Source organism: Homo sapiens, chromosome 8, assembly GCF_000001405.40.
Source record: "Homo sapiens chromosome 8, GRCh38.p14 Primary Assembly".
NCBI classification, from domain to species: domain Eukaryota; kingdom Metazoa; phylum Chordata; class Mammalia; order Primates; family Hominidae; genus Homo; species Homo sapiens.
Window position 1 is genome coordinate 20,124,447 of NC_000008.11, and position 23,279 is coordinate 20,147,725.

The 23,279-nt window shown below is 45.4% G+C and overlaps 1 protein-coding gene and 2 long non-coding RNA genes across 9 annotated transcripts in view; 2 read left to right on the forward strand and 1 right to left on the reverse strand.

Moving 5' to 3' along the window:
* Nucleotides 1–411, forward strand: part of LOC105379311 (uncharacterized) — a 45,659-nt gene extending 45,248 nt beyond the window's left edge. The window contains exon 4 of the long non-coding RNA NR_188140.1: nucleotides 58–411. This is a non-coding gene — a long non-coding RNA (uncharacterized LOC105379311). The remainder of the gene's footprint in view (nucleotides 1–57) is intronic.
* A 575-nt stretch (nucleotides 412–986) lies between these two features.
* On the forward strand, nucleotides 987–8,872 carry LOC105379312 (uncharacterized). The gene is made up of 3 exons (XR_949563.2): nucleotides 987–2,668; nucleotides 3,756–5,473; nucleotides 8,560–8,872. It is a non-coding gene; the product is annotated as an uncharacterized LOC105379312 (long non-coding RNA).
* Nucleotides 8,873–20,408: 11,536 nt separating this feature from the next.
* Nucleotides 20,409–23,279, reverse strand: part of SLC18A1 (solute carrier family 18 member A1) — a 38,282-nt gene continuing 35,411 nt past the window's right edge. For 6 of the 7 annotated variants that reach the window (NM_001438746.1, NM_001438745.1, NM_001437771.1 and 3 more), the window contains 3 exons: nucleotides 23,157–23,276; nucleotides 22,812–22,945; nucleotides 20,409–21,430 (listed from right to left, as the gene is read on the reverse strand). In NM_001438746.1, the coding sequence (NP_001425675.1) occupies nucleotides 21,317–21,430; nucleotides 22,812–22,945; nucleotides 23,157–23,276 (368 nt within the window). In that variant the 3' untranslated portion in view covers nucleotides 20,409–21,316. The remainder of the gene's footprint in view (nucleotides 21,431–22,811; nucleotides 22,946–23,156; nucleotides 23,277–23,279) is intronic. The other variant, NM_001142325.2, reaches the window with a different exon arrangement.

Here is a 23,279-nt window from a genome sequence, read left to right on the forward strand (position 1 = left end):
ATGTGTTCCTTCTGAAAGCGGGGGCTCTGGGGGGAGCTCATTTACTTGCCTTTCCAGCTCCCAGAGGTCACTGCGTGCCTTGGCTCATGGCTCCTTTCTTCACCTTCAAAGTCAGCAAAACGGCAGATCTTCCTGGCCCTTCTTCAGCTGTCGTGTTGTCCCCTGACCACGACCTCAGCTGGGGAAGCTTCTCCTCTTTGAAGGATTCGTTTGATTAGATTGGACCTGCAGGAGTACCTCAAGATCACCTTCTTATCTCAAGATTCTTAACCTGAATCACATCTGCAACGCGCTTTTGCCACATAGGGATCATATTCACAAGTTGTGGGGATTGGGCTGGGGACATTTCTGTTGAACTGTCATTCCACCATCACTGATTGCCACATTCCAAGTGCCAGAGTAAAGAATGAATAGTATGTTCCCTCCCTCGTGGAGCTCTCACTCTTTCAAGGGAAACGGACTTGGAAACAGCCTTTGGCATCGTGCACCTTATATAAGGCAGAGACACTGTGGGAGCACTGAGGGAAAAGCACTATCTGTATTAGTTCTCTCACTGCTATAAAGAAATATCTGAGGCTGGGTGCAGTGGCTCATGCCTGTAATCTCAGCACTTTGGGAGGCTGAGGCGGGGGGATCACTCGAGGTCAGGAGTTCGAGACCAGCCTAGCCAGCATGGTGAAACGCTGTCTCTACTTAAAATACAAAAATTAGCTGGGTGTGGTGGCACACCTCTGTAATCCCAGCCACTCAGGGGGCTGAGGCAGAAGAATCGCTTGAACCTTGGAGGCAGAGGTTGCAGTGAGTTGAGATTGTGCCACTGCACTCCAGACTAAGCAACAGAGTGAGACTCTGTCTCAAAACAAAAAAAAAAAAAAAGGAAGAAAGAAAAAGAAATATCCAAGACTGGGTAATTTATAAGAAAAGAGGTTTAATTGGCTCATGTTCTGCAGGCTGGACAGAAAGCACAGTGGCTTCTGCCTCTAAGGAGGCCTCAGGAAACACAGTCATGGCAGAAGGCAAAGAGGAAGCAGGCACATCTCACATGTCCAGAGCAGGATGAAAGGTCTCATGAGAACCCACTCACTATGGTGACGAAGGAGGATGATGCTAACCACTCCAGTGATCCAACCACCTCCCACCAGGACCCACCTCCAACACGGGGGATTACAACTGAACATGAACGCAGAGCCAAACCATATCACTAGCTCTGCCTGGAGACATTAGAGACAGGTTCCCAGCGGGGAGGCTTCCTTAGCCCAGAGATGAATTAAGAACAGCATTGACTGGATGGTGCTGTGGTTTCAATGTCCCCTCCCGAACTCACATCAAAACTTCATCACTAGTGTGGCAGTGTCCTTTCAGAGGTAGTGGGATCATGAAAGCTCTGCCCTCAGGAGTAGATTAATCCATTCATGAACTAATGGGTTAAGGGATCAGTGTGGTATAAAGACGAACTAAGACCTGAGCTGGCACATTAGCACACTCAGTCCCTCTCCATGTGACACCCTACACCACCGCAGGACACTGTTTAGTCCCCACCACCAAGAAGCCTCTCACCAGATGCAGCACCTTGGATTTCTCGGCCTCCAGAGCTGTAAGAAATAAATTCCTTATAAACAACCCACTTTCAGGCATTCTGCTATAAGCAGCAGAAAACGGACTAATACACACGCCTTGTCTCCAACTAGAAGCTCCTCCACCCACTAATTATGGACTGTTTTACTACTTGGCTTCCAGGAGGGAGGGAACTGTATGAAAAGAACAGAGATGCATAACTACATACAGAAATGGTTCCCAAGGGGGCTGAGAGCTGTGTTAAATGTGAGCTTTAAATGTTTTTTAATGATTTTTATCCTCAGAAAACTTGGTTCAAATGCAGTCTTGCTGGATGCATTTGCTGGGTGTCCAACAAGTGAAACAAATGAAAATAATTATTACCCTGGGGCTTCACTGACTGAGAGTGAAGGAGGCTTTGGCTGCTGGAAATGTGGAGGACCCCAGAGACCCTCTGCGGCAGTGGTTCCCAGTGTTTTGTCTTTGTTCTTCAAGCAGCATAATCATTCCTTTAAACAACATTTTAGGTGAACATGTGAAGCGGGGTAACCCCAAACTCTGCCCACCTATCTCCAGGGACAGTCTAGAGCTCTGGGGGCCTGGGTGAGCATCTCTGACCTAGACCAACCAAAGATCTTAACCAGACCCAGAGAGCAGCCACAGCTAATATGGGCAGGGTGACAGAGAGGATAACCTGTCACGTGTATGCTTCCCCACACCTGAGGCTCCAGCATGCATGAGAGAGAGCCCTGAGAGACACGCTATGGATCATATAACAATCCTGAAACAAAAGAGATGCAGAGAACTTATTCCACATGTCAATGTTAAAGGACGCAGAGAACTTATTTCAGATGTCACTGTTAAATGAACCATGGTGGCAGTTTCTGCCCATCAGGTTCCCATATGTAGAGACTAATGAAATTCCCCTACCCGAAGCTCTAGAAAAGTTCAAGATCCACACCATCTGGGAAGGGTGAAAGCTGCATTGAAGTCTTCTTAGGAGCAGGAGGAGCACTCAGCCCTCGGGGCCCAGGACTGTGGAGAGGACGGGGCGCCCGCTGGCTGTGTCACCACAGCACACCCCGGGCTTCCAGGAACAGGAAGGGAGCTAAAGGTGATGAAGTATAGGGGCCCTTAGGGCCTCGAAACTACAAGCTATTCCTCAAAGACCAAGCCTCACATGCCTCTGGGTCCAGAGGTGCAAAGGCGGGGCTGTGGGTGAAGGGTTTCAAAGGCAGCCCTCTCTGGCTCACCTCAAAAATCCTACCTGGGCAGACACCTCTGGGTATTATACAGTTTAGGGCATCCATCATTCATTCTCAGTGGAAAGTCCTGCAGATGCTAGAAATCAATAGGGTTTTTATTTATTTTTAAATTTAAATTTTTTTGAGGTGGATTTTTGCTCTTGTCGCCCAGGCTGGAGTGCAACGGTACGATCTCGGCTCAATGCAACCTCTGCCTCCCAGGTTCAAGCGATTCTCCTGCCTCAGCCCCCCAAGTAGCTGGGAGTACCGGTGCCTGCCACCATGCCTGGCTAATTTTTGAGTATTTTTAGTAGAGACGGAGTTTCACCATGTCGGTCAGGCTGGTCTTGAACTTCTGACCTCGGGTGATCCACCTGCCTCAGCCTCCCAAAGTGTTGGGATTTCAGGTGTGAGCTACCGCACCCGGCCAAAAGAGTTTATTGACTGGGGCAGGACGATGGAAGTAAGAATGCAGGTCAGAGTCAAATAACAGCCTTACCTCTTTTACTTAGATATCCAGATGTTCTTTTTAGCAAATTAAATTTTCTAATTTGCTTTTACTCAGTACATTGATATGCTTAGTATAAATGCACTAACTGTGCTACTTTTAAACGCATCCAACACACATCATTTTAAAGTGTTTTATGAGAAATTCTGAACCTCCAGTAGACAACGACCCTTCTCCTACAAACTACAGTTATTCCAAGGGCATTTCACTCTGTCTTCCACATGCAAGAGCTTGTAGCAGGAAAAAAATAAAATGAGAAAGAGAGAGAAAGAAAAGAGAAAAGAGAGAGAAGGAAGGGAGGGAGGGAGGAAGGGAGAGGAGGGGAGGGGAGGAGAGGGGAGGGAGGAAGGGAGGGAAAAGAGGGATGGAGGGAGGGAGAGAGGGAGGGAGGGAAGGAAGGGAGGAAGTAAAATATGTATGTATATACTTTTATTTATGTCTATGTCTAGATGGGTCAGCACAAATATTGAATTCACACTATATGCTGTGGCCTGCAACAGATACTGAGGATGCCAGCATGGATATGAGACCCAGTAATTAGCCTGGAAGAGCAGAGAATGTACTGAGGGATGATTTGTAACAATACAACTGCTATGTTATGTTCTCCTGCTATAACAGAGGCAAGAGCTCAGTGTTCTGGGGATGCAGGCGAGGAATTGTGTGGCCTGGATAAATCTAGGAAGACTTCATGGAAGATGACGCATTTAAGCTAGATCTTGAAGAAAGATAGCAAGCTTTCTGTCTAGTGTAAGGGAAACTCATTTCAGTCTGCAGAAACAGTGTAAGCTGGGGTGTGGAGGATGAGAGATGAGGGCAGCTGGTCCAGGCAGACAACAGAACCAGTGAGAGCAGCGGTTGCTGCTACTGTATCACCCCCCTTGGCAGTAGTATGGCCCTGACTGCTGAGAGGCAGGCCAGCTCAGGGGCGTCTCGACTCCCCAAACCAGTGCTGAACATTCCCTGATCAACCTGGCTACCAAACCTTCTTCTGAAAATGAGAAGTAGCTTGTTAACTATCAGAGCTTTCTCACATAAGAATGGGCTTCAGGAGAGGTAGTGAGGTCCCTGTGGGAGGAGGTATGTAAGTAAAAGTGATAGGATAGGCCCTTTTTTCCAGGCTGTGGTAGAAGGGAGGTTTGGGACCAAAGAAGGTTGGCCTAACATACCCCGCTCAGTTTTCTTCCAGAGCTAAGAGGCCATGATTCCCTTTGAAAGTAGAATTTCCTGTTCTTCTATGAGGAATGGAAAAACATGTCTAGAGAGGTTAAGTGACTTGCCCCAGGCTACAAAGAAAGCTATCCGAATCATTGTCCAAACATTTCACTTGCTACAATCTGATCTCAAGTGGACTTTTAGACAGGTGAGAACAGATGCTGGCTCTTCTATCTCGGCAACCTCTTTACCAATTCTGCAAGCATCAGACAGCAGCTGGATCATACATACATATGCCTCACGTACGCAGCTTCAGCTCTGCCAAGCAGGGCCATGCCCAAATGTGAGCATAATATGTTTATGTGGACCTTGAGCAAGACACTGTGAGTTGAGTCCTGACTTCACAACTGCAAGCAGGAGGTCACAGAAGCTTTGCAGATAAAATGTTAATCTCATACCTTGGCCCATATCAACACATGCTAATCAGATGGGTCAGGCTGTGCCGTTTCCCTCTGCAAGCGGGACTTGTTGTGACTAATTGAGGGGTTTGTAGTGAACATGTCCCTTTACCTCCTGCAGTCCTGGCATCCTAAAGCAAACCTTGGATCTATCAACACCAGTGATACCGAGAAGCCGATATTCTCTTCACTCTGTTCTCCTTCCCAGCAGCCATCACGCCTCTGGGCTACAATCCTGCCTCCAGAAGTCCCAGCTCAATTCACAAAGATGTTCTGGGAAGGAAGTCAATCTTCCCAAAGTTCTTGAGAGCCTGGGACATGCCATTTGCGCAGAACTCTAGAGTATGCAACGTGGCTTCACACACATCACTCCATTCGGACCCAGGGCTCTGGTACAGGTGTCATCCAAACCTTCTACTGCACACACGTAGCAAAGCGAGGCCCAGGGGTGATGCCCTCTTGAAGTCACAGAGAGAATAAGTGGAGCAGCAAGAAATCGCAGCTCAGTTTTCTGACCCTGAAGCCTGGGTTCTCTTCTGCATATACCAGATGGCCTGGTGAGCAAGGGTTGGGTATTCCTTGGCAAGGGGTGAGCAGGGCTGGGATCCAGGGTGAGTTGAAGTGGGCTGAGGACTTTCCAGGACTCATAGCTCCAGCCGGAATGTGAACAGGCCACACGCACCGAAATCAGTCTTTAGAGCTCGCTGTGGCCACAAGTGGGTGCTGGGCTGAGGTGGTGGCTTGTGGTTGTGAGTGTTGAAGATCATAGTTCAACGCAGGCCGGGTCCCATACAGGCAGGAGGACCAGGCACTAACTGGCCTGCTCTGCCGTCGATCTGGTACCTGTGTGTCTGCCTGACAGACACAGCTCAGAGGCCACCAGGGCTGAGCCGTGGCCCCAGGGCCACCCTCTGTGAGGCTGTCAGGAAGACAGAAAGAGCCACAGGGCAGCTACAGGGACAATGAGTGGCTTGCTGGTGAGGGACAGTAGGAGGCTGAAACCAAGGGAATGGACAAGAGCTTACAACCCCAAAAACTGATGGTGCCTTGTAGCAGACAGACACTGAGAACCCATGGCTGGGGCTCTGAAAGGGGAGGAAGCCTGCCAGGATTACCACTGGGTCCCACATGGGCCTCCCTGCTCCCCATTCATCCTGTGTGACAGCCATGCCAGTCTTTCAGGCCTTTTTTCCTTTTGTTTTGATGCCTTAGGAGACAGTTCATAGACCCTGGCCCAAAAGCTATCTGCTTCTAGAATCCAGCCCATCCCACCCTCCCAGCCTTGCTGCCTCCTCCTGCACCAGCTCCTCAGTCACTGCCCCAATTCGTGGCCTTTGATTACTGCGGCCCCTCGCTCTGAATGACTCCACCTGTCATCTAGTCATTTGATTCCCTCCCAACCTTGAGGACCCACTTTCTGGGACCCCAGTTGTCTATAAAGACCTCCCTGCCCCCTCACTCTGATCATCACTCTCTGTAATCCCTCTAGGGTTTGCCTGTCCCCACCATATACTGTGCGTCTCCTGCACTGCCTGCCTAGGTCCTCCCAGCCTCTGGAGGATGGGCTGGCCGTGCCTTGTCTACGCCTCCCATCTAAACTGGGCTTAATAGCTTGGCTGTAAATATCTATGGTCCATTTGATTGATGGATTCGAGCTACAACTATAGTAGCCTTTGTAGGAGAAAGAAGCATCACAGGCAGAGCCTAAGACCCACAGCAGACACTGATGTTCTCTGTTCTATCATCTCAGGCTCCATTTGAATTCTACACCAGGATAAGCAGAAAACCAGCAAAATAGTTGTCTTGCCACTCACTCCATGGGTACAGTGACCTGCAGACTAGCATTCATAACTGGCATATTGTCTGGTTTTTACAATTACGAGCACACACTTCCCCTCCTCTGATCCTTGCAGCAACCCTGGGGAAGGAAGGGTAAATATAGTTCCCAAGTCTTACTACCCTCCGTGAAATAAGATTCAGAGAGGAGAAGACGTCTTCCTAGAGCCTCCTAGGGCAGGCAAAATCCAAACTAGGTCTTTGATTTTGAAGCAAGACCTCCATCCAGTATGACATGGTTATTTTAGAAAATGAACATGCCAGAACTAATTATTTTTCAGGTGTTTAATACCCACGACGTGTGCCCAGTGCTCTTAATGCCTAATCTCTGACCCTCACGTCTTTCAATGGTCTTCCATGCCCAACATTAAACCTCATTTCAGGTCTGATCAACGATGAAAAGTTAGGTTGTGTAATGGAATGAAAGTGATGTTAAGGAATTGAATCAAGTGTAGGATAACATTTCACATAGGATTTACAGGACGTAATTGTATTTCATCAACAGAGCTACTCAAGTCATTCATTTGAACACAGAATTTTCTCTTTTTCGTTTTTTTTTTTTTTTTTTTTTTTTTTTTTGAGATGGAGTCTCGCTCTGTCGCCCAGGCTGGAGTGCAGTGGCGCGATCTCAGCTCACTGTAAGCTCCGCCTCCTGGGTTCACGCCATTCTCCTGCCTCAGCCTCCCGAGTAGCTGGGACTACAGGCGCCCGCCACCACACCCAGCTAATTTTTTGTATTTTTTTTTAGCACAGACGGGGTTTCACCGTGTTAGCCAGGATAGTCTCCATCTCCTGACCTCGTGATCTGCCCACCTCGGCCTCCCAAAGTGCTGAGATTACAGGCATGAGCCGCCGCGCCCGGCCCCGAATTTTTTCTTTAATTCAGTCCTATGCCAAGGAAAGCCCTGCTGGTTTCTGACTCTCAAAGAATGTAGAAGGCACGTTCTCCCCTTCTCTGCAGCCTTGCAGTGATGCTATTTGCAATTCTTCTTTTGTTTCTGAAGAGTCAGACAGAGGCCCAAGTCTGGTGCCATCAGGAAACTAAAGCTTTATCTGAAGTGGTGGAAACTTCCCAGGGATCTCCGCAGCCCAAACTCTGTCTCTCTTTCACTACTGAGCACTGATCTGAGGAGTCCCATGAAAAAATATCCATATTCAAAAGTCTTAGAAAACAGGAAGTGAACAGACTTGCCAGTCACAGGTAAGTAAAACATTCCACTGGTCCACCTAAGGAACTCTGGCTGATTCCAGCTTGGTGTTTCTCTCCAAGGCCCTAATAAAAGGTAAAAGCAGGATTTGCAGAATCCTAGAATAGTTGGGCTGGTAAAGACCAACTCCCTGTTTCATAGATGAAGACACTAAACCCATATTAGGGAAATGACAGCTAGCGAGTACTCTCAGTGGGATTCCCTCTCCAAGTTCCAATCAACCAAGATTTTCCAGCTCACATATTGTGGAAAGTTCTGAGGAGGGCAAGAGACGTATGTGGCACAGAAGTACCCTTGAGCCCACAGTCTGGCCTTGGGAGATACCATTCCTACACCCTGAATAGTAAGAATGACACTGGCAGTGGCTATGGCTGTCTGGGTAAGTGACTCTGGCGTGTTTTTTTGGTTTTTGTTTTAGGAGGCAGGGTCTCACTCTATTGGCCAGGTTGGAGTGCAATACTACCATCATAGTTCACTGTAGCCTCTAACTCCTGGGCTTGAGTGATCATCTTGCCTCAGCCTCCTGAGTAGCTAGAAGAAGCACATCATACCACACAGTAAGTGCTTATTATTATTTTTAATTTTTTTTTTCTTTACAGAATCCCATATAGATCTGATTAGTATCAGCCACATGGTAGGCAATGCTTGTTGCACTGAAGTCAGCCATTAGAATGTCGTCACTTTGAGGTAAGTCATTGACACATCCAGTAAGCTACTTTTTAGGATTATTCTTAGGGAAAAAAAACAGAGCCTGAAGAAAACAGAATTTTCACCCACTTATTATGAGAGCTAGGAGAAGTTCAGAGGCAAGACAGAGTGAAAGGAAACTACCTTTGTCTCAGGAAGCCTGGAGTTGGAAAGGAAGACAAGGATGTGGACAAGGGAAAAGCAGGGAAGGGAGAAGGGAATACAGCAAATAAACTGTATGAGTTCCTTTCCACACTGCTGTAAAGACATACCAAAGACTGGGCGATTTATAAAGAGAAGAGGTTTAATTGACTCAGAGTTCTGCATGGCTGGGAAGGCCTCAGGAAACTTACAGTTATGGCATAAGACGAAGGGGAAGCAAGGATCCTCTTCACACAGCGGCAGGAGAGAGAAAAGGGAGCGAAGGAGGAACTTGCCAAACACTTTTATAAAACCATCAGGTCTCATGAGAACTCCTTCAAATCACGAGAACAGCATGGGGGAAACTGCCCTCATGATCCAATCACCTCCCACCAGGTTCCTCCCTCAAAACTTGGGAATTCCAATTCAAGATAAAATTTGGATGGGGACACAGAGCCTAACTATATCATAAACTTTACTTAAAATGTGTAAGCCAAAGCCAGTGTGTGTAAGGCCCTATTACTTTGTTTAATAGAAAGTAAAGTACATCAAGTCTCAAGTCTCAGAATTTGGTCCAGGCCGATCCAATCTACTAGTTCGGTGTCTGAGCAATTTAGTGTGGGCTCTACCGCCCTCTTCTGGAAATACTGGGAATTGGTCTTTACTTGTGGTTTTTCAAGTCAGTCACAAATACTAGAAATCAGAGGCCAATTTCATTTTGAGAGTTGAGACAGAATTTGGTAGGTGGCTCAGGAGGAAGGAGAATCAAGGTGGAAGAAGGTGAAGGTAACATAGCACATTTCTTAAAATATGCAGAAAAGTTTCTACAGCCCAATCAAACATTAGTAATAAAATTCACTGTTGCAAAAAAAAAAAAAAAAAAAAAAAAAAAGCCTTGTGTTAAATTTTGTTCATGAGCAAAAGGTGTTAAAAGATTGATTTGTTAAGGAAAGGCCTCAGACTGTGGAGTCAGACCCACCTGAGTCAAATCTGGGCTCTGCTGCTTGTTGTGTAAGTGTAAGTGACTAAGTGACCTCAAGCTGATTATTTAACCTCGCGGGCTGTTCTCATCTGTAAAATGGGGACCACAATGCCCACCCCAGGGGGATGAAGTGAAACGATGCATTTAAGAGGACCAACATGTCACAGACTCCCCTTCAAGAAATTCAGGTAGAGAAAATTATACAATCCTAATGAGAAAAATGAGGAGAGACCCGAGTAAGGGGAGAAGCATTTATTAAGGTCAGGAATAGGCAAAAGTAATTGATGGGGAGAGAAGTCAGAACAGAGGTTCCCTCTGGAGGTGGTAAGTATTGACAGAGAAGGGATGGAAGGAGGCTTCTGGAGTGCTGAGAGTGCTCTATATTTTGTTCTGAGTGGTAGTTACCCAAACACATAAATTTATCAAGCACACACTTAAAATTTATGCACTTTACATACACAACCTTTAAAAAGAGGGGAGAGGAGGAAGAAGAAGGAGGAGGAGGAAAAGGAGAAGCAGAAAAAAAAAGAAAAAGACTTTTTTTTTTTTGAGATGCTGGAGGTAGTGACACAATCTTGGCTCACTGCAACCTCTGCCCCCTGAGTTCAAGCGATTATCCTGCCTCAGTCTCCTGAGTAGCTGGGACTACAGGCATGCACCACCATGCCCAGCTAATTTTTGTATTTTTAGTGGAGACGGGGTTTCACCATGTTGGCCAGGTCTATCTCCAACTCCTGACCTCAGGTGATCCACCTGCCTCAGCCTCCCAAAGTGCTGGGATTACAGACATGAGCCATCATGCCTGGCCCAAGAAAAAGACTGAAAACAGTGGTGAAGTGGGGGAGATCCTATAACTTGAGTCAGAATAGTTATCTCAGCTTTCTAAAGACGGCCACATCTCTTCTACCTGCTCATTCCACAACCTGTATTGGTTCTGAAAATTATGGGAGGAGACATGAACATGCTGATTATGAAGAATTTCTGCCGCCACAGCTGTGAGCAGATAGAGTGAAGGCGAACTAATCTGTGATTCAACCCAGGTGAAGGCAAAGCCTGTGAGCAGTGAGTGGGTGGATGTGATTTCCAAAAGAAACCCCTTGGCTCAAAGTGGCAGGGGCTGGAGACCAGGATGGACTGAGAGACAGCCAGAGTTGAGTTGAGGGGTGAGTAGGGTTCGCTACCATAATTTCTGGAAAGTGCTTCAGGTGTGGAGCGTCAACAAGAGTGGGAATTCCCACATCAGCTCCCACACCTTTGTATGGCAAGCATACTATGCATGCCACAAGCAGTTCGGCCAGGGCTCCGCCCCAGCTACTCGCTAAGAAGAGTTGTCATGCCAGTTACAGAAAGACAGCCCTTAACTCTAGCCTCTTCTTGCAAGCATGACAAGCACAGGCCCACAGGCCCATAGGCCAAACTCTCTTCTGCAGTGAAGGAGCTCAAAACTGGTTCCTTCCAATGTCCTTATGAGCAAATTAAAACTGTGAGGAATTTCCCCCCCATTTTCCTTTAAATGAGCTGGAAAGATTTGAATAAAGACTCTTGTAAGCTCTGGTAACTACTATATGAAAAGGTTTAAAAGGAAATAACTTGGGGAAGTAAACAATAGCCCGTGAAAGATCGAAATGCTTTTTAGACATTGTTGGAATGAAAATGTTGGGTGAAAACTGATAAGAACATTAGCAAAAGTAAGCTGACTGAATACCAAATTACACACAAGGAGATGCCAATAATAATAGTCAACTTGTGCCACAGAACGCAAGACATAGGAATTGAAGGTGATGTAAGATATGGGGCTGGGGGAAAAAAAAGGCAGATTCATGAGAAAAAAGAAAAAGTGAAAGGAAGGACACCTCAGTCCCATCCACCATGCCCTGAAGGTAGCCAATAGCCCCATCACCACCCAGGTGGAAAGATTTATTATGTGGAAAACTTAAAGCCCAGAGGGTACAAAGTGAGGACTCGCCACGGAGGCAGGGGAGCGGGGCCACACTTAACACCATGAGAGTGACCTGGCTGAGAGTCTGCTCCCCACCCTGAGCCCCCATTAGTCACTTTGTTCCAAGAAGGTTGACTCTACCCATCCTCACCACCACGAGGAAGTCTCCACTGGAGGAATTACGAGAGAAGTCCTACAGACACTGATATCGGGGAGTTCTCCAATAAAAGAGCCAACACCTACCAGTCACCCTAAGAGTTCACAAGCCCCAGTCTTTCATGTAGACTTCCAGAAGCCTTACAATGCACGCAAGATATTTGAAGAAAGTCTCCATAGTGAAACAGCTCAAAACAAGCAAAGATTGGAACTGAGGGCTGGACGCAGTGGCTCATGCCTCTAATCCCAGCACTTTGGGAGGCCAAGGCGGGTGGGTCATGAGGTTAGGAGTTCAGGAACAGCCTGGCCAACATGATGAAACCCCGTGTCTACTAAAAAAAAAATGCAAAAATTAGCCAGGCCTGGTGGCAGGCAACTGTAATCCGAGCCACTCGGGAGGTGAGGCAGAGAATTCCTTGAATCTGGAGGCAGAGGTTGCAGTGAGCTGAGATCACGCCACTGCACTCCAGCCTGGGCGACAGAGCGAGACTCCATCTCAAAAAAAAAAAAAAAAAGAAAAAAAGATTGGAACTGAGGAAACATAAATGCAGGGAGAAAAAATAGCTTGACCCGCCCTCAGAGAGAGAAAAAATATCTCAACCATAAAATGAGATTAGGAGGCCATGAGAAAACTCAGAGAGCTGTTGTAAATTAAATTATGATAGATGAAAAAAAATTCTGAAGAACAGCTGAATGTAGAACTGAGACAGTCTCTTAGAGAGTGGAATAAAATAAGTTAAAATGATAGAATAGGAGGAAAAGGGAAGATTAATCAATCCAACATCCAACCAATAGGATTTCTGAAAGAAAGCAAAGATATAGCACAATCAAAGATATAGCACAATAAAATTCCCAGAACAGACAATATGAGTTTCCAGATTGAGAGGCCCCACTGGGTGTGCAGCACAGTGAATAAAAAAGACCCCAACAAATACTCATTATTGTGAAATTTCTAAAGACCTGGAATAAGATCCCAGTAGCTAAAAGCAACCACAGATCTCATTCAAAACACGGAGAATCAAATGGCACAGGGCTTCTCAACAGCAATGCTGAGACTAGATGAAAGAACAGCATTGGAAATATGAGGGAAAATAATATTCAGCTCAGAATTCTGCACCCAGGCAATTATCAATCAAGCAGGACATTTTCACACACATCTGATGTCTCAAATTATATGCCACCCTTGCAGCTATCTGAGGAATTATTGGAGGACATACTCCAACAGAAGATGAAAATGCACCAAGAACAAGAAAGTGAATTCAGGAAACTGGAGTCCAGTTTAGGAGAGCAACACAAGAAAACCCAGCCCAAAGCCCATGCAGGTGGCTCTGAGAATGAATCCAGAGGACACAGGGCTGGAAACAAAACGTACCGACAGATGACCTGCTATGATCAGAAACAAATAGTCAGGGGTCTTCATAAATCAGTTAGTGGACTTGAGAACAATGGGTGAGAGTAATCTGGAAAATGAAGTAAACAAAGGAACTTCAGAAACAACAAAGCAGACTTCATCAGCTTCAACAACAGCAAAATATAGAGCAAGGAAGTGAAATCAGACACCATCCCTGCAGATACCACATTCTGCAACAAGCATTGCTAATATGGTCATTATAGAGCAAATACCTATTAAGTGACTAAATCATGAAATAATTAAGCTTGAAGGTTGAAGGACAGGAAGAGGCCAGTAAAGATATTCAATCTCCATCTACCATTAAATTAAGACGGTAGGTTATGTCAAAAAAAAAAAAAAATGGCAAATCAAGAAAGAACTGAGTAAGCAGATTTTGTAGATGCAAAAAAGTAAAAATAATAAAATAGATAAAAGTGTGAAAGTGGAGGACAGGATTCAGGAGTTGGAAAAGATGACACAAAAGCCTGCTGTTTTCTGTCATATGCTTGAGGCATTATTACTTTTTAACGACGTAATTTTAACACTTATTAGAAAGTTACATTAAGACATGAAATAATAGCAGAAAGACTGACAGATAGGTGAATAGAACTGAACTGAGAATCCAGAAATAAATTTTCACATTTACAGTCAATTGACTTTCAGAAAGGATGCAAGTAAACGCAATGGGGAAAGAATCGTCTTTTCACTAAGTCGTTCTGCGACAACTGGATATCTACGCGTAAAAGAATGAAATTGGGCCTCTACCTCCCACCATATAAAAAATAAATACAAATGGATCAAATATGAAAATGTAAGAGCTAAACCTAAAAACTCTTAGAGGAAAGCGTAAGTGTACATATTCATGACCATGGGGTAGGCAATGGGTTGTTAGACGTCATGCCAGAAGCATAAGCAATAAGAAAAAATAAACACATGGACTTTATCAAAATTAAAATCGTGTGTGCTCCAAAGGTCACCATCAAGAAAGTAAAAAGACAACACACAGAATGGGAGAAAATATGTGTAAACCACATATCTGATAAGGAATTTGTATGTAGAATATGTATTTTTAAATTCTTACAATTCAATAATAAAAAGACAACCTTTGTTATTTTTTTATTTGTTTGTTTTGAGATGGAGTCTCACTCTGTCACCCACGCTGGAGTGCAGTGGCACAATCTCGGCTCACTGCAACCTCCACCTCCTGGGTTCAAGCGATTCTCCTGTCTCAGCCTCCCGAGTAGCTGGGACTACAGGCACGTGCCACCACACCTGGCTAATATTTGTATTACTAGTAGAGAGGGGGTTTCACCACGTTGGCCAGGCTGGTCTTGAACTCCTGACCTCGTGATCCACCTGCCTTGGCCTCCCAAAGTGCTGGGATTACAGGCGTGAGCCACCGAGCCCGGCCAAGACAACCATTTTTTTTTTTTTTAATGGACAAAGGCTCTGAATAGACATTTCCACAAAGAAAATGTATACATGGTCAATAAGTACATGAAAAGATGCTCAACATTATTGGTCATCAGAAAAATTCAAATCAAAACCACAAGCGACCATTTCACACCCCCTAGGATGGATATAATTAAAAAGACAGACAATAACAAATGTTGGCAAGGATGTGGAGAAATTGGAACCTTCATCCACCGACTGTGGAAATATGAAATCCACTGACTGTGGAAATATGAAAGCTACTTTGGAAAACAGTCTGGCAGTTCCTCAGAGTTTTAACATCAAGTTATCACAGGACCGAACAATTTTACTCCTAGGTATATACCCAGGAGAAATGAGAACATATGCCCACACAACAACTTATACATAAATGTTTAGAGCAGCATTATTCACAACAGCTGAAAGGTGAACATGACGCAAATGCCCATGAGCTGATGAATGAAATAAGATGAATAAATAAGGTGTAATATATTCATATAATGGGACATCGTTTAATAATAAAAAGAAAAGAGGTAGTGATACATACCACAATATAGATGAACCTTTAATTTTTTTTTAATTTTTACTTAATCCCAGATGTGATAGTATACTGATAAATCTTGAAAACATGCTTAGTGAAACAAGCCAGTCTCAAAAGACCACATATTGTATGATTCCATTTATGTCAAGTGTCTGGAATAGGCAGATCTATAGAGAAAGAAAGATTAGTGGTTTCCTGGGACTGGAGGGTGTTGTTGAAAGAAAATTCAGGGATGATTAATGGGCACAGAATTTCTTTCTGGGCTGATGAAAATATAAAATTTATGGTGGTGATGGCTGCACAGTCCTGTGAATATACTTAAAGCCACTGAATAGTATACTTTAAATGGATGAACGGTATGGCATGTGAATTGTATCTCAATAAAGCTGTTACCAAAAAAAATGGATTTTGGCTGGTGGCAGTGGATCATTCCTGTAATCCCATTACTTTGGGAGGCCAAGATGGGAGGATCTCTTGAGCCCAGGAGATCAACGCCAGCCTGGGCAACATAGTGAGACCCATCTCATCAGTTTCCTCTTCTGTAGGATAAGAGAATTGAACTCACTGATAATAGAAAGTAGCACTTAAACAAGTTTTGTGGGGTTTTTGTTTTTGTTTTTGTTTCTGTTTTTTTTGAGACAGTCTCACTCTGTCACCAAGGCTGGAGTTCAGTGGTGTGATCTTGGCTCCCTGCAACCTCCACCTCCCAGGTTCAAGTGATTCTCCTGCCTCAACCTCCTGAGTAGCTGGGATTACTGATGTGTGCCACCAAAGTCAGGTAATTTTTTTGTATTTTTAGTAGAGATGGGGTTTCTTCCATGTTGGCCAGGTTGGTCTCGAACTCCTGACCTCAGATGATCCGCCCTCCTCAGCCTCCCAAAGTGCTGGGATTACAGATGTGAGCCACTGCATCTGGCCTTAAATAGGGGTTTATGGTTGATAAAGTGTGTTCTTTGTCTACTTCTTATTACCTCATTCATCTTAATTACACTCCTGTTACAACTGTGTCATTGTTATTCTCACGTTACAAATAACAAAGTTTTCACTGTCACATTGTTTCTATGTTGTGGAGATTCCCCAGAGGGCTTTGGTTTGCAACACTGTAACACTGCTCCCCCACCCGCTCCCTGTCATTCCATGAATATCATGGCAGACCTACTTTGAGCACCAGGCCACCTGCACGTTGAGTCACACCTGAACACACAAAACTTCCTGCTTTCCTGTGACGATTTGCTCAGCAACCTGTTGTGACCTGCACCATGGTCGGCTGCCCCTCAGCACACCCTAATTCTACCTAATAGGTATAATTGCTGGCTGGGTGCAGTGGCTCACGCCTGTAATCCCAGCGCTTTGGGAGGCCAAGGCCGGTGGATTGACTGAGCTCAGGTGTTTGAGACCAGCCTGGCCAATATGGTGAAACCCTGTCTCTCTTAAAAATACAAAAAATCAGCCGGGCGTGGTGGCACATGCCTGTAATCCCAGCTACCCCTTGGGACACTGATGCAGGAGAATTGCTTGAACCTGAGAGGCAGAGGTTGCAGTGAGCCGAGATCGTACTACTGCACCCCAGCCTGGGCAACACAGCAAGACACTGTCTCAAAAAAAAAAAAAAAAGAAGGAAAGGAAAGGAAAGGAGAGGAGAGGAGAGGAGAGGAGAGGAGAGGAAAGGAAAGGAAAAAGAAAAGAAGAAAAATTGTCAATTACTGACCTGGGGTCAATAGCCAAAACAAGCAATGTATGATCCCCAAACTGCACTCTTCTCCCTTATGATTTCCAGAGACCACATAATGACTCGATTTGGATGACAAATCCTAAAAGACCTTGACCACGCTCATGCCTCTGCTAACACTGTACTCATCATTCTCCAGAAGAAGAAAGAAAAAAGGGGAAGAAGAAGCAGGGAGGAGGAGAGGAGGACAAGGGGGGGAGGAGGAGGAGGAAGAAGAGGGGGAGGAGGAGGAGGGGGGAGGGGGAGAAGGGACAGCAGGGGAGGAGAGGAGCGAGGAGAGGAGGAGGAAGAAGATAAGGAGAAGGAGGACAACAAGGAGGGCAAGGAGGAGGGGAGGGGATCACAACACACTTTGCTTCTAATAATTTCTTGAAAGCAACAAATGAAACCTGAAATGACGTTTGTGTTTCTGGGGTGATGCTGGTTCTCACCTTTGTCTGACCTCTCAGCTTTGTCTTTGGCTCCTCGCTCAGGTCCTGCCCCTGAGCTCACAGAAAGCCACCCCAAAATGAGCCAGTGGCAGATGGAGCCACAGAAAGCCAGAGCTACAGAAGTTGATGCCAAAGCCCAGAGACGTGAAATGACTTGTCCCAGGTCACACAGCTAGTTAATGTCAGAGCTAGGCTAGGACCTCAGGATTATGTCTCTTTATTCCTGATTTGGTCCTCCCTCAACCACCTTGTGACTTGACCATTTCTCTCTTCAGCACCTCCCAGAAACAGCAGAGAGCGCTTTGTACCAAAGCCACCATGCTCCATTCCTGCCTTGTTGCAGAGAAAGTTCTCCTGTCCCATACACGAAATTGTAGGGGTGAGCTCAGCAGAACTGAATTGTGTAACGCAGCAGCCCTGGGGTGTCAAAGCTTGCCAAGAATCAACCACACATCCAGGGAAGGTGTGTGGAAGGGCTGCACCGCCCTTTCTTCAAGTAAGCCTCAGAGGACTGACTCGTACAAGCATTACAGAGCTACCTCCAGGAGTAGGGAGCAATGTTACTAGGAAATTTATTTTAAGCCTGGGCAACAAAGCAAGACCCTGTGTCTACAAAATAATAATAATAATAATAATAAATAATAATAATAATAATAAATAATTTAAAAAATAAATAAACTGAGTGTGATGGCATGCACCTGTAGTCCCAGCTACTCAAAAGGCTGAGATGGGAGGATTGTTTGAGCCCAGGAGGTGGAGGCTGCAGTGAGCCATGATTGCACCACTGCACCCCAGTCTGGGTGACAGAGCAAGACCTTGTCTCTAAAATTTTTTTAAAAATTATTTTATGTAGCTAAGGCTTTATCTTGGAAAAATCAATTCCATACATAAGAACACAGTGGGTGGGTAGCGGGGAAGTATTTCCTAATATTCACCCTAGAGTTAGCCCTCTAGTGATTTTAGAGTTCCTCCAGTGGTGTTCTGAGACTGTGGCCATCACAAATGGGCCTCCTTAAAGGTGTAGGCTACTTTAATAACATCCCCTTGAATTTGGGTCCCTCCCCATAAGAACTTTCCTGTCACTTGCCACACTGCTGTTCCTGCCACCCATTCATCATCCTGTGTGATCTCTGCATTCCTTCAGCCTCCATAGTTACCTCCTTAATTTAAGGTGCTGTAGCTCCCACCCTAATGTGGAACTGCCACACTTTTCCTGCTTTTGTACTTTGGAAAGGATGTGTCTTCTGGTTTGCTTCTAATGCTCTGATAAACTCCAACATTTTCCTGGCTTATTGAGCACCATAGCTCGTTAGTTGCACTGTCTTCTTTGCTACATGGTAATTGGTGGTTGAAAGCCCGTCTTTCTACAAAGATTTTTATAGTCTCTGCACCTCCTCCCTTTCATGAGGGAAAAACGCATCTCTTCAACTGTCCCACAGTGGAGTGGAGTGCCATTTTATGATACTTTCATAGAAAACTTCTTGTGGCTCATCCTTGCTGGGTGGCATTTTCATTGTTACAAGAAATTCATCTGACCTGTGAATATGGGAAATTTACCGTGCATTCTCTTCTTTATATTAGTGGCCTTCTTTATAAGGCCACTAATAAAGACTAATTCCATTTCCTATTTTTGTGGAATTCTTCTTTTTATACTCTTCCATATATACGCTATATATATGATCTTTAACCTACCTCTGATCTATAATTTTAAAAAGTGTCCTGACTTACTTTACAGTGTTTGGTGTTGACTTCTTATTTTTTGAGTCAGGGTCTCAGTCTATTGCCCAGGTTGAAGTGCATTTGCACGATCATGGCCCAGTGCAGCCTCCACCTCCCGGGCTCAAGTGATTCTCCTGCCTCAGCCCTTTGAGAAGCTGAGACCACAGGAACGTACCACCATGCCTAGCTAATTTTTAAATTTTTTGTAGAGAAGGAGTTTCGCCATGCTGCCCGGGCTGGTCTTGAACTCCTGAGCTCGAGTGACCCTCTTGCCTTGGCCTCCCAAAGTGCTGGGATTACAGACATGAGCCACTGTGCCCGGCCTGGTGTTAACCCTTGACAAGAATTGTTTTAAAAGTCTCAAATTGTGTCCACTGGCTTCCCTTTATCCACATCTTTGCATATTGTTCAAACAATGTTAGCTGGCAAGCCAGGAATCAGTTTCTCTGACAAAAAATTGTTCCCATTTTTTAAATGTGTTCATTTCTGTAGCAAGCCCAGTCTTTATTATAAGCCCTGCCCCAGGTGGATGTCAGAGTCAGCAGGCTGTCATTGCCAGAGCTCCACATCCCGCCCCACCCCACTGCCACCTGTGTAAGGTATCCCAATGGTCATTCATTCACTCTGCATGTGTACTTACAGTTTATATATTTTGACAAACAATTTTATAATTTCACCTTTGAGCTCCTTCAAAGTCTGAGAAAGATGTCATCCTGACCAAAGATGATTATAACACATCTGGTTTTGGAAATCAGGTAGTCTAGTTAATGCCAGCCCCCTAAAAACATATCCATAAGTCAGGTATCTATCATTTGCATGGTGAAGATTCATTGAAAGGTTCAGCTTGAATGTGCTCTTTGATTCAGGGTTTGTGTTGGAGCCTCAGACTCCTACAGAGCAGTGCAAAAATCAGACCCTGGTGTCATTCCAGGTAAAGTCTGAAAACCCCAATCTGATATTCAGGCATCCCAAAAGCCTGTCTGTGTGGGTCTCTCCATCCTGCTTCTTACCTCTGTCTCTGCCATTATTTCCCACCCAGCCTATGAGCATCCCACCTGTTCATACTTGAACACAGAATGTATACTAACTTGCAGCATTAATCATGTTTTACACTGTTCACACCCTGTTTGCCCAAACAGATGGGGAGCTACTTAGGGGGATGCCATGTCTCCCACCTCTTTGAAATCCCATCACCCAATAAGTATTTCAAAAAGGTAGGAAAGTGTGATAATATTTATAGTATTTGCTCTATTTGCCCATACACTCTCTTGTGCTATAAAACAACATCTAGTTTACCAGGTCTGAATTAGGCAATAATGTATTTATTAGCAAGTATGAACAATGTCACATTACACCCCTCCTGTTAGGAAATCTACAATCAGGAGGGATTTCAAGGCAGTTTCTTTTAACTTCTTCCCATGAAATCTTGGGTCTAATCAGTTATTTTTTCTGTCTTTCTTCTACTTTTATTTCTAAGAGTCTAAGAGGTTCAGAAAAGGTAGGAACACACAGGGGAGGTCAGGAGAATGTCAATAACTCCAGCAGAAGAGAAATGGGCTCCTGTTTCTGAAAGATAATGAAAATAGAAGACACTTTTCACTGAGGGTAAAGCCCTTTTAGCAGCTCTAGATTTAGCCACAGAAAAATCACTCACTTTATTAAAAAAAAAAATAAATGAAAAAAAACAAAACAAAACTCTTCAAGCTGGCATTTGGCAGCAAGACAATGCTGAGAACATTTTCTCAACTCGGCTGGGAAAACCCGGGAAAGAACACGTTGAGGAAAAGAGGGTAACACTCTTCCGATCTGTTGGGACTATGCCAGAGAAAATCAGGCAACAGATTAAAGAGGCTTGTCAGTCACCCCACTGGTTTCAGGGGCACATTACTCACTACCACCTCTATGCAATGAGTCACCCCTTGCAGAACCCGTCACAGCTCAAGTTTAATCAACCTCACAGCAGCGGGAAGGTGCATCACTCTGTCTTCCCATAAAAGATGGGCCACTGCGGCACCAAGGCATAGAGGAAGAGCTACAAGTTACACAGGTGAGAAGAGTATCAGGGACAGTGTCCATGGGAGGGGAGGAAAGAAGATTCCCAGGCAGAGGTATGTGAAGCCCACTGAGCCGTGGGCTCAGCCATGGTGATCTGGTCCCAGGGAAAGAGGTGGTCACTGAGGCATCATGAATTCAAGGAGCACCTTCTGCTGCTACTCCTCATGGTCAGGCTCCTCATCACTGTCCTCCCCCAGAGGAAATTCCTTCGTGGGCTTCTGGGTTGCATACATCCGGGTCTCCATGGGGCAGTCCTGACTCAGAATAGCCTGCAGAGAGAGGCAAGAAGAGAAGCCACTGCACATTATTATCATTTTTTTTTTTTTGAGACGGAGTCTCGCTCTGTTGCCCAGGCTGGAGTGCAGTGGCGCAATCTCGGCTCACTGCAAGCTCCGCCTCCCGGGTTCATGCCGTTCTCCTGCCTCAGCCTCCAGAGTAGCTGGAACTACAGGCGCCCATCACCACGCCAGGCTAATTTTTTGTATTTTTAGCAGAGACGGGGTTTCACCATGTTAGCCAGAATGGTCTCGATCTCCTGACCTCGTGATGCGCCCGCCTCAGCCTCCTAAAGTGCTGGGATTACAGGCGTGAGCCACCGCGCCCGGCCAACCACCGCACATCTTTTTTTTACCAATCTCCTCATTCCGTCCTCCCACTAGTTCTTCCAAGGCTGGCATTGCTAAGTACTCAAGAAACATGCATAGGACCCTCTGCATGTACATGCACCAGCCTCCCGGGGTACCTAGTATATCAACCCTTGTCAGGACAAGTATCTCATTTGCTTTTAACTGAATTTAACAGTGGTAGTGAAAGTTACAGCAGGAAGCCAAATGGAATCACCACCACTCCCTATCACACCTTCATGTCTTCTTTTGTTCCCTTGAGCAGCCTCTGTCGGTATCCCAAACCCATCAGGCCCTCAGGATGTTTGTGCTGCAGTAAGAGGAAAGTGCTTTATTAAAGAAAATCCTATGGTATGGATCTCTTCCCTGGGGTTTTTGTACTTTTAAAAACGTGACCTGCTGACCAACATGGATAAACCCCATCTCTACTAAAAATACAAAAAATTAGCCAGACATGGTGGTACATGCCTGTAATCCCAGCTACTTGGGATGCCAAGGCAGGAGAATCTCTTGAACCCGGGAGGCAGAGGTTGTGGTGAGCCGAGATCACACTATTACACTCCACCCTGGGCAACAAGAGTGAAACTCCATCAAAAAAAAAAAAAAAAAGTGACCTGGTAAGGATAATGTTGCACTAGAGTGAATGAGTGGATGAACGGATGTGCCAATGGAATTCTGCCCACTTATGAGGGAGTTAACTTGGTAACTCACATCTTGCTAGTAACTAGCAAGCTAAGAACAGTAACTACAGGATGTCTTTGATGGTCCTCTGCCCCCATTTCCCTTCTCTACTGAAGACCCTTCCTGATAGCCCCAGAAAGAGGGAAGTGGTTACTTAGAGAAGGGAAATTAAGGAAGTGCACAAAAGAAATATGAAGATGAAAGGGGATTGGGAAACATGGCAAAGCAGAGAGAGTATCAACAGAGCAATAGAGGGAGGAAATAACAGCCCAGGATGAAAGGGAATGAGAGAGATGATGGAAAGAAACAGAAGTGAATTTCTCTTTTAACAGTCGGTGCTCCTTACAAGCTTCTCTTCCTTTGCCGGGGGGCTCCGCAGGTAGTAGCAGAGTGGAGCATAGACGATGTTGATGACCCCAGTGATGACCATGAGCCAGGGAAAACCGATGGCCTTTACAATGGCACCACCGGTGGATGGACCTGGGAGGGATACATCAAAGTCATAAGTGTCTATGGAGCCTCCATATGGAGCATCCTCCACGTAGGACACTATGCTAGGGGCAGTGGGTGACCCAGAGGATGTCTCAGCGTCAAAGATCTCCAGAACCCTAGGAGGATAGCTTCCTGGCTGCACTTCCAGCTGGTAAAGAGTAGACAGGGGAAAGTGGGGCACCAGGTCCTGCCAACATACCTATAGCAAAGCCCATGCAAAAAGCCACATCAGCGATGGCGTAGACACTCCCATACACCGAGGTGTGGCGTAGATCCACCAGGTGCCCCATGATGGGCATCATAGAAGAATCCACCATGCCTG